This window comes from Homo sapiens, chromosome 5 (assembly GCF_000001405.40).
Source record: "Homo sapiens chromosome 5, GRCh38.p14 Primary Assembly".
Taxonomy (NCBI): Eukaryota; Metazoa; Chordata; class Mammalia; order Primates; family Hominidae; genus Homo; species Homo sapiens.
The window spans coordinates 88,818,087-88,833,624 of NC_000005.10; the positions used below are offsets into that span (position 1 = coordinate 88,818,087).

Here is a 15,538-nt window from a genome sequence, read left to right on the forward strand (position 1 = left end):
AGGATATTGGAGGTTTCCAAGACAAAGAAATGATAAATGTTTGAGATGATGGATATGCTAACTACCCTGATTTGATCACTATACATTATACATATTAAAACATCACTGTGCACCCTATGAATACGTACAATTATTTGTTAATTTAAAAAATTTTAAACACAAAAGAAATGAAACAAGCACCCCCAAAACCATCTGTTCATAAAAACCAGTTTGTTGTTGAACTTTTTAAACCTTTGCATATATATGTTACTGTAAAATACAATAAAAGTGTCACAGAAAAAAATCTGTTTCAGGAGCATGATTAAAAATTGGTACCATGTGAAAGAGGGTAAGACTGCCTAACTGATGGAGGTATTTCAAGGGTAAAAAAAAAATGCCGACGGAGAGACTGAAACTGTAGTGTTAGCATAAGCTAGAAGCTGGTAGTGATAAAAATGGTGAGGAGTAGTTAAAAATAATTTGGTCAGTAACATATATTTGAAAACAGGTCCCACAAGCATAACATTTAGGAAACGACTTCTCCCCATCCTTGTCATAAATCCTCTGCAAACGTCCTGTGTGATCTTTCCTTCTTGTCCACAAACTATCCTCTCTGCATCAGCTCACTCCTGCTCTGGTATCATTCTCTAGCCCCTTGTTGGCTTCTGAAGGCTCCTTTGTGCTCCTGCTCTACCTGTTCCACTTTTCCATCCATCTCCTCAATACCCTTTTAAAATAAAACCCTCATGAAATGAAGGTTTAGGTAACATTCTTTATTGTGCTACACAGTACAAGAGTTGTTTTGATAGAAATCACATTAACTATAATAGCTAATGGTTCAAAGAGCCTGAGTCTTAATAGGAATAGCTAATAGGTAAATTTATTGAGCACTTATTATTTGGTGGGTGCTTTACATTTATTGCTTCATTTAATTGTCTTAAAGACCTAATGAGAAAGGTACTAACTTTTTTTCATCCTCACTCTAGTGATGAGGGTACTGCTGAAGCTCAGAGGGTCTAAGTAACTTGCTAGAGGGTCACATAGCTAGTAAGTGGCAGAACTGGGACAAGAACGAAGTTTGTGTGTCTCTAAAAACTATGCCTCTTAGCCATTTGATTATACTGGATGCAGTATAATTGGGAAAAGTAATGACACAAAACCATGCTCTTAGTTATTATATTACACTAGATGCATCATGACATAATTTTAAAAAGCATAATTTGTTTCGTGTTGAATATGAGAGATCCGGGCTCAGATCTTGGTCACTTCCCAGTTTTAACTGTACAATCTTGAGCCAGTTATTTAGAACTTAACAGGACCTTCAAAGCTTTGCGATATCTGGGTCCTGTCTAACATCCAATCTTTTCTCTCATTTCTCTACAGTCATACACCAGGCTTAAGTCCCACTGATCTTCCTTCAGCTCCTCAGTCAAGCTCTTTCCTCTCTTAAGGAACTTTGCAAATACTGCTTCTGGAATGCTGTCACCTGCCTAACTCTGAATCATCTTTTAGCTCATCTTTTAGCACTTCCTCAGGCCTTTCTCCAACCCTGATGTAAATAAAGTACCTCCTATTATTCTTTCATAGCACATATAAGTGAAATTTTTGTTATATATTTTTATATTTCATGTCTGTTTAACTCAATCAGGGGTCCATAAACTGTAGCCTACAAGTGAAATCCAAACGCCCTGTTTTTGTCAGTAAAGCTTTATTGGAGCACAGCCACACAGGTTCATTTACATACTGCATACGGCTTTCAGACTACTAGGGCAGAGCTGAGTAGTTGAGACAAAAACTATATGGCTCACAAGGCTAAAAATATTTGCTATGTGGTCCTTTACAGGAAAGCTCGCTGAACCCCTAAAGCAGAGGATAAGCTGGATGAGATTCTTGTTCACCACTGAATACTTGGTGTTAGGTACACTGCAGTCTAGTAATATTTGTTGATTTCACAGATAAATGAATTATTCAGCCATAAAATGGGACTTATTAATAAAAATTATTTGTAATTATATATATATATATAGTTCTTGGCACATAATTGGTAACTACTTTTATTAGGTTGTCTGAAAATTTCTGTAAGATAAATTAACAATTCATAATGTTATTTTTACATACTTGCTTAAGAAATCCATGTTGTCTAAGCTTGAAACTAAGAAAGAAATAGTTTTTGTAAACTTGGAAATGCCAAAAAATTTTTTTAAATAAAAAAGCTGTCAATTTTTATTCTCACCTAAACTATTTTACGTATTGATGTTTCTGAATTTGAGCTGTCAATTTTTATTCTCACCTAAACTATTTCATGTATTGATGTTTCTGAATTTGAGCTGTTCCCTACTTCCATTATGAAAGACAGCTAAAGTAAAGGTAAAATTCAATTTAAACAGCCATTCTATTTCACAACAGTTTTATTTCTTAATGATATACAACTTATAACATCAGTGCTGTAATATTTCATTTCACACTTGAAGTCAGTATTTCTTTTTCTGGAAAAAACATAACTTATTCTGTGTATAGCTAAATAAACAAGTGCAATGGCAGAGCAGTCTTTGACAACTTTTAAGAAAAGATGACAGTGAGCCATTGCATGAGGTTCTACTGGACAGTCTACAGTGGGGCAGCTTCAAAGAGGGCAAAGCATTTTTCTTTGCAACATGTGAATACACAGTTGAAAGAAAGCCCAGGTTACGGGTGCCTCTACACAGTATGATATGCTGTTTCGGATTTGCTGGTTTTGTTTATTAGAAGTGACCTACATAATTTAGGCTCTTTCCCAAATGACTCTTACAACTGCTCTCATAGTAGGTGAGAGGTGCACAAGACAAGCATTTATATGTAAGATGTTTGAAATTGTCAACAGCCTCTAAAATAATCACTGAAATATATATTAAAACATGGTGGATTTCAAGTTTACTAATTCTGTTTAAAAGTATTGAACTTACAGGCCTACTGTATCTAAAGACTGGAGAAAAGAATAAATATACCCTAAATTCTAAAGAATAAAATCAAGAAATCTGTCTTCAGAATTTAAAAAAATGATAAGTCAAACTAAGCTGAATTTAAATAAGTTTTCTTCTTCTAAAGTTATTATGACTTCTAACCTGGATGAGGGTAACAGCCACTGTAGCTGCAACTATATATAAAAAAAGAAAAGATATTCAATTATTAGCTCAAAAGTGCGACATTAAGATTCTTTGTTTGTTTGTTTTTTGTTTTTTTGAGACAGGGTCTCACTCTGTTGCCCAGGTTGAAGTGTAGTAGTAACATGATCACGGCTCACTGCAGTTTTGACATCTCGGGTCCTAGTGGTCCCCAAGTGGTTGGGAACACAGGTGCATGCCACTACCACACCCAGTTAATTTTTTTTTAACTTTTTAAAATAAGAGATTGCATCTCCTTATGTTGCCCAGGCTGGTCTTGAACTCCTGGGCTCCAGTGATCTGCATCTCAAAGTGTTGGGATTACAAGCATGAACTACCACTCCCGGCTTTAAAATTATTGTATCCCTAGAAATCCTGTCATTTGTTACAACATGAGTGAAACTAACTGGAGGACATTATGTTAAGTGAAATAAGCCAGGCACAGAAGGACACATTTTGCATGTTCTCACTCGTGTGGGAGCTAAACTTTTTTTTTTTAAAAATTGAACTCACTGAGATAGAGAGTAGACTGATGGTTACTATAGGCTGGGAAGGGTAGCTGGGCATGGAGTGGGGAGGGGATAAAGTGGGGATGTTTAATGGATACAAAAATAGGTAAAATGAATAAGATCTAGAATTTGGTAGTACATAGGGTGACTACAGTTAACAAGAATTTATCATATATTTGAAAGTAATTAAAAGAGTAGAATTGGAATGTTCCTAATACAAAGAAATGATAAATGCTTGAGGTAGGTATACCTCAATTACCCTGATTTTGATCACTGCACATTGTATACCTGTATCAAAACATCACATGTATTCCATATTATATACAACTATTATGTACCCATAATTAAAAATAGAAATTAAAAAATCTTGTATCCCTGTTTTTTCTAATAAAGCATAATAAAAGCTCATGAATTCAACCTGCAAAAATTTTCTTCTAACTTTGCAAGCAAAAGAAGATATAATGAATATCATAAACCTAAAAATTATCTGGTATTGGTAATAAAGTGCAAATGCTAATTCATATGTTTTTGACTATACTCAAAATAGGTTCTGGTCCAAATAACAAGGTCCAAACAGTGTTACATGACATTCAATATTTCAGTCTTAATTTCAATTTCAAGCTATAGGCCAATTAAAAAATAGCGGTTTTCTATTGACACAATGATTGCTCTTTGGCTTGATCCACAGCAAGAAACGATGTGCATGAAAACACTAAAGGAATCCACCATAAATCTTAGTATTATTCACCCTCTAGCTAAACATGCAGCCAAAAATAGTTCAAGTTGTGTGTACCTGAAAATATATAATAATTTAGAGGAGTATAAACTTGAAAACCTAAAAGTTTCTCTACTTTTTAATGGCGTACTGACTTTGATGCAAGAAATAATTAATTCCTATTCATTATAGTTTACACATGAAACAACATTACATTTAAAAAAATGAATCAATCAGTTCTAGTCCTATTTGTATGTCCAAGAAGACAAAACAGGACAATAGAGGACATGAGTGTCTACATTTGTGGGGAAATTACAGTCTGGTGGTTGTCCCCAGGGCTACTGTGTAGCCTTCTTCAGTGTAACCGAAAAGTAGGCAAAACACTCTTCTCTTCCACAGTCCAGAAACGTCTTCTCTGCAGGTTCCATGATCCATATGAGATGGTTGGGACCCAGCAGTACTATAATTTCTCCCAGGACCATTATTTGATATTTAACGTTATACAAACTACCCAGCTGTCCTTACATAGCCTAACTAAATCCACTCTCCCCTAGTGTGAAGAAAAATAGAGTCAAATTGCAGGCATTCATGATATACAAGTCTTTAATGCCAAACTGAGCATTTGAATGTGTAAAGTCTTCACAACAGATTAATTGTATCACACAGACATTATCATTGGCATTCTAGAAAAAAATTATAACACCATCTGCCTCTATGTTTATCAAATTCAGATTTAAAATGGTATGAATTAACCGATAGTCCTTGCCTATATGTTTTAAGTTATTAATATCTTGTGTGGGTGTTTTCTTTGTTGTTGTTGTCAGCACAATGTTAAAATGTTTGGATGTGTTTCAAAATCTCATTTACTATGAATAAAATGAAAGCCATTTTCATACAGGATATTTATCCTATATTATAAACCTTTAAGTGAATGACCACAAAAGGTCTAGTTCCCATGAATATAAGAATATCTTTGTTTGATGATGCGTGCAATGTAGCAATGTTATGCTGATTAACTCTTAATTATCAAGCTATTCATGTCACACAACTACACTTCCCATTTCAAATTTGTGTTGAAGTAAAAAGTGAATAATGACAAATGTGTAAACTATGTTTCTGACAGATAAAGTGATTTTTTTCTCCTTTATATATAAGAGACTATCAGCACTTTAACTGGTCACATTTAATTAACCCAAACTTCTCTTAATAGATATTTACAGATTCAAGATATTTTCTGTACCCTTAACATATGTGGAGAAAATATAATTAATAAATAATGATACAAAAAAAGTTTACTCCACTCACCTGTCTGTTACGTTCATCCATAATCCTCGTAATCTGAATCTTTTTTCTCCCCATAGTCCCCGTTTTTCTTCTCTCTCTCGTCCCTGAAATTATGTATTTTTTCCTTCCTTTTCTTTCTCTTTCCTGTTTCCTCCAAACAAATCTCCTTCTTCAGCACTTGCACAGCTCAGTTCCCAAATTCCTGCATTCGTTCCTGCTGAACAAAAAAGAAAAATTAAATACCACTCTAACAGCAAGTCAGTTTCATAAGAACTATCATATTCTAATTTTATCAAGGAAATAAACTATATGGAGCTAAAGCAATAAAATGAATAAAAATAACTTTTTTGTTAAAAATATATGGTATATCACAGACAGGAGCAGATCAAGTAGTTTTATTTTTTAACAATTAAAATGATCTCATAAGTAATTTAACAAGTCATTTAAATGATGCAAACTATGCTTTTTTAAAGACTAACACTTGAAATGTATTTTTTTTTGTAAAAAGTTTCCTAATCTTTTTAATGAAATTAGGTGACAATTTCACCCGTTATGAAAAATTACCTAAATCAGAGAGTTAATGAACCTTTATGTACCTGTGTATGCTAAGTAGGGCAGCTAATTCATTTCTGAAGGGAAAACAATCTCCTGTTTTGACAGCAGAGGTGATAACGTCCCTCGTTATGCAAATAGGATGGACGATTATGAAAGTGCTATTTGATATATGTAAATGTCAACTAATTTAAATCTAAATCCTTTAATCTTACTTTAAAAAAATTATTGCTGTGAGAACACCTTAAAAATAATATGGAATATTTAATCTTAGATTACAAGCATCTATCAGCAGTGAGATCTTTTCTTTTTGAAAGCCCTTAAACTACATCTTAGATAACAAGAATCAAAAAAGATAAGCATTGACACAAAATAAATGGTGCAAAATTAAGATTATTCTTCAATTTATAACCATATTTTTTATAACAAGCCATCCTTCCTTTAAATTTAAATATTTAGAAACAGACATATCATGTCTTTGTGGAGTAAGATACAAAATTGCAGAAGCTTCACATTACATACTGGAGATCTCTGGGTCAGGAATTAAAATTAGAGAAATGATCATCAATAACATGAGATAAGCCCAAGAAACCCAGAATATTAAAAGTACATACTTTACTTGGTTTTAAATTACATCTGAAAATATTTGAACACAACGGAAGTTAATTGCTCTGAAATGTGAAAGTTAACAAGAAAGCATTCCACAATGGGTTTTTCAAGCAACAGCTCCAATTATTCTACTTCGTTTTAGGTCAATGAATGCAACAACTTTACACACTGCTCAGAATTTCCCTGTTTATTTTAGCTGGTGTCTGACAACGGACCTGATAAATTCCCACATGTATTATGTAATGCTAAGCCAATGTCCTGGCTATTTAATAGATTGTTTGGCTCCAATTCAAAGTTCTTGGAACAGGAAGGCTGTTACACATTCGGTCTGACCATTAGCTGTCTTCTGATTTCTTTAATTTAATTTCCAAATTCTTTATCACCTTGGGTATTTTTTTTTTTTTTAGTTTTTGGTGATTATTTAATTGCAGAAGCTATTATGATATAATTACTTCTGGTGGATTAAGTGCTGCTTAAATACTAAGACTATCCATTCTCTTTTGCCTCACGCCTCTCTACTAAACTGCAGCTCAGTTCTGCCTCTCATAATATGTATGTTGAGTAACATTATGACCACACAGTGCTCATCAAAAACTATTGCTCCAGCTGTAATTTTAAATGTTGGAGGTGGTTCAAAATTCTAAAGAGTTATAGAAATAACACACATTTGACAAATACATATAAAAATAGTTATAACATATTGAAATCACATTAAAATATGAAAAACCCACAAAGCATAATTGCATCATATATTTGATGTTGCTAGACACTGTCCATCTATTTTTAGAAAACGTCTTAAATGTCACTCAATGGGGCAACTTTCCTGTGTTTCCTATAGTCTTACCTTAGAAGCAAGCAGTGTGTTAGAATGGTATTTCCCATGCACGTTTAAGACCCCAAAGATACAAACAAGCTTTCTCTATCACAGAAAGCCAATCCATGAATCCACAGCAAATGCATATAGGACAATTTCCTTTCCTTTCATTTAGCTGAGGCCGGTGGCACTATCGGCTTACAGGACTATGCCTGCCTAAGCGCTTATTCACTTCAAGGTGGAAGGTCAGGGTGAGCAGATTAGAGTGTGGTGATAAGGCAGAAGAGACAAGAACATCTACAGATCCTGATTTCAAAATACAAATAACCAAACAAGCAGCAAAACATCCTTGGAGAAAAGTCTCAGAAAGACAGAGAGAGTTCCTGATGAACCAAACTTAGGAGAGTTCCTCCATATCATCACCCCATATTTCACAACTTTGAATGAGACCATTTTTAAAAAGAGCAGAGCAAGGACTTAAAAAAAAATTTCTTAAAACATGCTGGAAAAAAATTTTGCCAAAGAGAATGTGTGTATGTATCTATGTATATATAAGTGGTTGATAAAAATGCCATTGAATATATTTTCTTTTTTGAAATATGCAAAGCAATGTAGAGAGAAGCAAGTTTAAATTTCAATAGAACTAAACTTTTGTTTTCTGTATAAATATTTCTTGAGGTATTGCCTTCAGAACATTTCTAAAATCCAAAATTTAGTATGAAGTACACGTGCAGAGTAATATGTGGTGATGATGACACTAAGTAACTGGTCATGAAGTAAAGTCTATCATGAAACGTGGTTTAGAACATTTGATTATGGGTCACCACATTTCAAGGCTGTCACTAAAAATTTAAAGAATTAGGAAGGTCAACAATAGCTCACGCATTGTTTTCTTAGCACAACATTTTCTCTAACCTAATTTTTATGCAAAAACTATATTAAAAGGTCAGTTTCAAGTATCAATTTGTAGGAGGCCTAGAGAGGCGAAGAAAGAGATTATTTAACTTTAGTAATCTGTAAAACTGTTTTGTGTGTATATGAAAAAGGAATATAACAGCTAGCCTACATGTAGTAAAATTTCAAGTTATGCTGAGAACTTTCATTACGTACAATCAACCATAAGCTTAAAATAATTCCAACAGCCTTGCCACTACTTTTTTTCCACAGGAAAGAAGCATTCTTAGAAAATGACAGAGCTACATATAAATAATCACTAATTTAAAAAAAAAAAGATGAAGAACTGCTCTACTATAGTTACACTCTATAGAATTACAGTCTTCTGCATTTTTTTTTTCTAAAGAAAAAATGCCAACCCAGATAAAAGAAAACTAAAATGAGGCTGCTTACTAAAAAGGGGAACTTCATTATGGCAGGCTTCTGCTCATTTTGAGTTTGGCATAAGCAGGCAGATGAAGGCAAAGTGGTTTGAGACCCAAGTCGAGAAGAATTTCTTCTGGACAGATGCTAAAGATCATTCTCCCACTGGGCTATCTCATTTACAAACAAGTTCCCTTGAGTGACACATACCTCCCCCCTCCATTTCCCTCCTCCCTCCCTCACTCTTTCTTGCCCTCTTCCTCCCTCCTTCCCTCCTACAAATCTCTCCCAGTAGCACAGAAGAATTTTGACAGAATGGCAGGAAACACGCACACAGACTGGTCAGGGAAGGATATGATGTCAGCAACCACGAACAATAAAAGGTGTAAAGGTGCTTCCTTCCCTAAACTGTTCCAGAAGTGTAAAATGGGAACCAAAACTCTCCACTTCCTTCTCTGAGCAGAACCGTCTGAGTGTGCTGTGCTGCACACCCCACACACAGAGGCCTTGGAGAGGTTCAGATAAGGGACAATGAGGACAATTCAGACCGGGAGCGTGATTTTTAATTTCCATCTTTAAAACACCTGAGAAAAATTCATGTCAGCTCTAGGTTAGTGTTTTATTATGATTGCTTTAAGAAATGAAAATAAGAAAACAAACACATTGACTTCATTGAAATAGCAGATATATCTCAGTTATTGTTTACCAGGCCTTACAAAAGTCATCGTACACAGTTAATGCAGTCATATAATTGGAATTTACCCTTTGAGGCAAATGAAAAATATGCAAGCAAAGAACCAAAATAGATACATTAAAACTTTTGGTTAAAAAAAAGAATTATGAAAACCGGCAAAAAAAAAATCAATGCATGCTGGTAAAATATGCTAATCATTTGTTTGCTCCCACATTAAAAAAAAAAAAAAGATATACTGAGGGGGAAAAGATTCTTATGGTTATTGAGTTTCTCGAGGTTCTTTAAAAAAATTCAAACTAGGAACCAAAGTGAATAACACAAACTCTGCATCTATAGTGAAACTATTTAATCTCCTCACTATTAGGTTCTTTCTAACATGGAAATGGCATTCTACATAAGGTTTCTGTAGGAAGAAAACCACATATCAAGCGTATCTGAGTCATCATCAGATTTCAATCATCTTCCCACAACACTTTGATTTAGAAGTTAAACATAACCTTCAGTTATGTGTTTTGATCTTAGAGTGAAACTGCCATGCCACATTAAAAGATGTGGGAAGAAATTAATTCTCTTCTGCTAAACTTATCTTTGCAAAGCATGTATTTTTCTGCAATAAGTACAATGCAGTCACTTAAATAAAAACAGCCTATGAATAATGGTAAAACATTGAAATATGTGATGTCAATTTTCAAAAAAAAATTCCGGTTTTCTTTGATTCATATTAGCAGATCTTTTTGATTGACTTACATTTTCACTAACACTAGTATCCTCAAATAATGTTTTGTAAAAACTCAAAGCTGAAAACTGAGCACACTCTATCACACAACACTAAATAATACTGTTAAATAAATACAAGCTGGATACATCGTAAGGGGCAAAAATGATCATAAGCCCAGTTGCTGCAAACCTAGTATTGCTAAATCAAATAATTAAATGATTCATTATCTTTTTAAGTGGAAAACTTTGCTCAATATGTTACATCTAGTTACATTTAGGTTTCTATTTTGTGATTTGTTTGATAAAATGTATGAAGCATGCAATTATATTTTGGTTAAAAGGAACAGGCAGAACTTTTACTTTTTTTCCATTAGGAGCTATTCTGAACTTCAAAAGGTATAACCAAATTACTACTCCTATTGATGCTCGACTGCGTGATGTCTTGAGTTGAGGAGGATTTCTTTGGCCTTGAAAGTTGCTCCATTTCTCTCTAAGCTTACCATGTATTTTATAAATATACCATTACCTTAGCTATGAGTGCATTCTGAGTTTATTTCCAAATCACATACCCAAGACTCACTCTTCTAAGGGTAATAAAAGAACAGCTATTCTTTTCCACTAGATAAATACCATCATGCCATATGCCAATTTATTTTCCTAATTTATTCCAATTTAGTATCAATATGAATTTCAAACCATCTTCAAGTCTCAGTAACATAGTACCACATATACAAATAATGTTGACCATCTTTTCCATTTCCTCACATCTGCCATGCTCCTTCCTGCCACTAGGCCTTTGTGTACTAGGCAATTCTTTCTGCCTGGATGTTCCTCCTTTCCTTTTGTACCTCCTTGACTTCTCCTCCCTTCTGTCTCAGCTTCAGTTTCACCTCCTCAGGAAGTACTCCACGCCCTCCTGATGACATCGAATTTCCCTCTCATAAGATCTAAGCACTGAGTCCTTCTCCTTTGCAGCACTCGCAGCAATTGAAACTGTATGTTTGCTTGTCTTCCTCAACATCTGTTTTATTTGTTTGTTTCACCGTTTTATCCACAATATATACCCTAGTGTCAAACATATAGAAAGAGCTAATGACTATTCGTTGACTGACAATCAGTTAAGATGTGTATCTCTCAACTGACGTATTTTCTTTTCTTCAGCTTCTACTTTTACTGACTACTACTAAAAATATTTTACTATTTTTGCTTACACAGAAGCAGATTGATAACCTCACTTAATACTTCGCCATATTTACATAGCATCTCCTATGTGGAATTAGAATAATTGATACTGAGAATTGGAAGTTAAATGGATTTTGGGGTCAGAAAAAACAGGGTTAGAATTCTAGCTTGGTACTTGGACGCTGTGTGACTCCAGACTGATTATTTAATCCCTTGGAACTGTTGTTTCCTTGCCCTACCCATAACTGGGAAAAAAATCTTCATTTGTAGGATGGTTATGATCATAACATGTGGTACTATATGTGAATCCTGGGTACACAGTAGTACTGGGAACATGGCCTGCTGCTCGTATGATTGCTTCCGTTTGAAGGCATAAAGTGAAAGTCCTATCATATAGTAATGCTATCAAGTGAATAGTGTAGTCCTTACATTTACCATGAAGATCTCACTTTCCAAAGCTAATGATTAGCAATTCTGACAGATAATGCCTCATTTATCCTGTAACAATAATCACCAAATGAAGAATAAATTTACAGTGTTAAAAAAATTAAGAAGTTTCTCTTACATATCAGCTACGGAAGAGCTTCAGGCTGCAAAAGTGGAAATAACTAGGGAAATACATCAATTTTCCCCATGACCACGGCTGCTGAAAACTCTACATTAATGCTTCTAGTCCTACTTTAATATCTTTCCCCAAGGACAAAAAGAGATGAAATGTATGTCAGAAATATAATAAGGCTAAAAAGGAACTCGTTTTCTTAACCCCTGCAATTAATTTAATAAGTGGGCCTAACCTGCCATTATCCCTGACATACATCATTTTATTTACACAGTTCCAGAATTTAGGAGACACATACCTTTATACAATTGTATTGCATTATAAACAATTTAATAACTGTGAGGGAAGCACAGTCTCCCTGTCATAGTTATCCATGGTCTATTTTGTCTTGGACACTTTTTTCACACTGCAGCTAAAATAGCATTCTCTATTCCCATGCCAAAATAAACTCCAAATGGTCTAAATATGTGAAGAACCTTGTGCTATCCAACCCTACCACAGCTTTTAGTCTTTCCACATCATATTAGGTAATTAATTCAGGGTTCTATCATGTCTTTGTTTTTCTAATTTTTCACAACAGTGCAGCCACCATGTTTTCTTTCAAAGGCCTCTGAGTGATGTGGTAGGGCTCACCACAAAGGTAAAGCCTGCACTGTCTTATGACAAAGCAAGAGCTACAATTTAACATCAGATTGTGTTCTGTTCCCCAGCTCTAACCTCTCAGTAAGCACATGCAGCTGGATTTTTGTTGCTGTTATTGAACAAAGCAAGTTAAGCACTATACAACATCAACCTCAGTCAAACAAAATAGTCTGTAAAGCAAGCTAGGCTAGAAGTTGGAGATGTTGCTATTATAGATTTTCATGCTATTATGATAAAAACATCTAAATTCCCAGGCATCTCATGACCCTGTTAGAAAAAAATTATGTTCGTTATATTCTTCATCTTTAATATATCATATTTCACGATTAAAATGGAAATACTCTAAAAATATTTTTCTCATATGCCTATAAGTGTTGAACACATATTTCAGTCTTACTGATACATTTGTGCATGTGTGCACATGTGTGCACAGCACATGGAAAAACACATTTTAGTCTGTCGAAATGTGTAAATAAAACAATAAGAGTACATTTTAAGACACCTGAGTTGTCTTGAGTATTATCACCAGTAAATAATCACAATATTATTAAGATCGTGGTGTGAATGCCTAAAAGGACGTTCTCAGTAAAAGCTTTATTTTACTCTGCATTCAAATATTATGTTAAATGATTGAAAATTATGTCCTTGAAAATAATTTGCTTCTTTCATTATTTATTTTCCAATTTACTTAACATTTAAAGATGACCTTGAAATGGGAAGAAATACCATTGTCCCCCTGCCAATGTTTTTGTTGTACATTAAAGAGAAAATGCTAGATAAATCATCTGTTATTTAAGTGGAATGTCATTTATTTTTATCTCTAAACCTTCACATTTAGAAGGTTTACACAGAAACTTTACATGCTCAAATATGTGATGTTCAAAATGCTATAATACTATCTCTCAAAATATATATGATATTGCTATTATATGTGGCTCAACATGGAACTCAGTGATTCATCAATTTTTCTATTTCTCTTCATCTCTTTTACAGCATCCTAATCAACCTAATTAAGGCTTTGTTCATCTGAAACCTCTGATGACAATTTGTTTAACTCTATCCCACTGTGGTCTTCTTATAAGGAGAATTAAATCTGATCTTCTGACAGCAATCATTAAATGATCCCAACTGGCCCCAATTAAACCACATGGCTCATGGGCTTCCATACAGTCAAGTGCCAAGTTCTCTGTTTCATTCACACATTGTTCTTGGTTTATTTTCTTAAAGCCAGTTAAGCATGTGTCTTATCAAGTGGAACTAAATTTCCTTATGTACATTAGCTCCAGACACAGTGTGTCAATTGACTGCACACCAAAGTATCACATAGGACTTCTGAAGCCATTCTATACAGCTGCAGAGGTACTAGCGAAAAAGAATCTTTACATTTATTTACTCATCCTGAAATGGACCCACATGTACATTCTCGAAATAATACACGTGTTTAAACAGTTCTGGCTAACATAAATCAATAATAACTTTTATTTGGCTTGCTTATAATGATCTTTTAATAGAAATTCTCTGCATTTAGAAGTTGGGCTTAATATTCTATTTTTTTTTTAACATTTGAAATTATCTCTTTACCTCCCTCTAAAAAAGCAGTACCAAAGTAAGACTTCTGAAGTTAACCTTTCTTACCCTTAATTTCTGCTCTAATTTTTTCACATATGCCCAATTGTAAGTTCTGTAATGATGTTCCCAGGCCTTCCTACAAGCGCAGGTAGCCTCAGGATTTAGAGCTCATTGATTGTGTGCTACTCCAGGGAAATGACTGATTAAAAACAGCCTCATGAGGAGGAGTAGCTCCTATTCACATCTGGCTCATCTGATTCTAAAGTCTAATACCTGTATGAAGATTTGATCCATAGATTTAGATTTTGAACAACTGCAGCAGTTTACCTAGAATATTTTGATGTCAAAGCAGAAACAGTTAAATTAATCCCACTATGACTGGTGTCTGACACAGGTTCTGAAGGCTTTAATCAATTACCCTACTTTCTTGTGAATATAAACAAATACACTGTATTTATATATATATGCTAATTATGGCTATCACTGATCATCTGCTGGTACTTGATGCAGGCTGTCACAGTTCTCAGAGCAGATGGATTAGAACATATCTGTTCATCCTAATCATACATTAAAAACTGTTAGAGAATTGAAATACATGCTATGCATCTTATAGGACATTAGCCTTGATGGGACATGTAATTGTTCTTATGACTCAACCAACAGATGTTAACTGCAAAGAAAAATGAAAATACAATGGAATTTTTAACATAGTGATAAATTTGGTAATGCCAGGAAAAACATTATGTGCATTTTCTTTATGATAATTAAATATATACCTGATCATCTATTCACTTAATAACTGTATCCCTCTCAAGAGGAAAATTCAAAATATTTGTTACAAAATGCTGATGATATAGAAAATACTTACCAGCCTTACAACTGACTGACTTTTAAAAATGTGTAATAAATGTACTAAAATTTTAGCAAAGCAGTACAGACACTGGATGTTGAATTATGAAATATTTCTCATGTATTATAGTAATCTCCAATAAGATTTGATGTTAATTTTAGAGCATGCTTCTGCTAAAAAGGGCAAACCCTGCAACAGATTTAGTACAAAGAAGCTGAAAATATCCTGTGGAAAAAAAAATCTGTAGAGAAATCAGCCAGCCCAAATCCTGCCATTACTCAGCACTGTAGTGACGTGCGGATGTTTGTAGTGGTTTGAGGAGCCAGCAGGGGTGGAAACTCTACGTACTCGACTCCAACATGATTGCAATTGAACCTCATCAAAGTAAGAGCTCATAATTTGTCAC

The 15,538-nt window shown here is 34.2% G+C and overlaps 1 protein-coding gene across 76 annotated transcripts in view, besides 3 other annotated features; it reads right to left on the bottom strand.

Moving 5' to 3' along the window:
* MEF2C (myocyte enhancer factor 2C) overlaps positions 1–15,538 on the bottom strand; it is a 186,989-nt gene that overhangs the window by 100,970 nt on the left and 70,481 nt on the right. For 29 of the 76 annotated variants that reach the window (XM_011543396.4, XM_047417202.1, XM_047417191.1 and 26 more), the window contains one exon: positions 5,649–5,844. In XM_011543396.4, the coding sequence (XP_011541698.1) occupies positions 5,649–5,702 (54 nt within the window). In that variant the 5' untranslated portion in view covers positions 5,703–5,844. Of the gene's footprint in view, positions 1–5,648; positions 5,845–6,223; positions 6,259–7,632; positions 7,975–8,949; positions 9,107–15,538 lie in introns of those variants that run through there. The other 47 variants (XM_017009478.3, XM_047417190.1, XM_047417181.1 and 44 more) reach the window with 7 other exon arrangements.
* Positions 1,590–1,639: an enhancer, noted in NCBI's record as "active region_22763". NCBI's record gives its function as "activates an Ori minimal core promoter by ATAC-STARR-seq in GM12878 lymphoblastoid cells {active_cell/tissue: GM12878}" and the evidence as "EXISTENCE:reporter gene assay evidence [ECO:0000049][PMID:35858748]".
* Positions 3,406–3,505: an enhancer, noted in NCBI's record as "active region_22764". NCBI's record gives its function as "activates an Ori minimal core promoter by ATAC-STARR-seq in GM12878 lymphoblastoid cells {active_cell/tissue: GM12878}" and the evidence as "EXISTENCE:reporter gene assay evidence [ECO:0000049][PMID:35858748]".
* Positions 6,806–7,100: a silencer, noted in NCBI's record as "tiled region #14259; K562 Repressive non-DNase unmatched - State 6:EnhF". NCBI's record gives its function as "represses a minimal TATA promoter and a strong SV40 promoter by Sharpr-MPRA in K562 cells {active_cell/tissue: K562}" and the evidence as "EXISTENCE:reporter gene assay evidence [ECO:0000049][PMID:27701403]".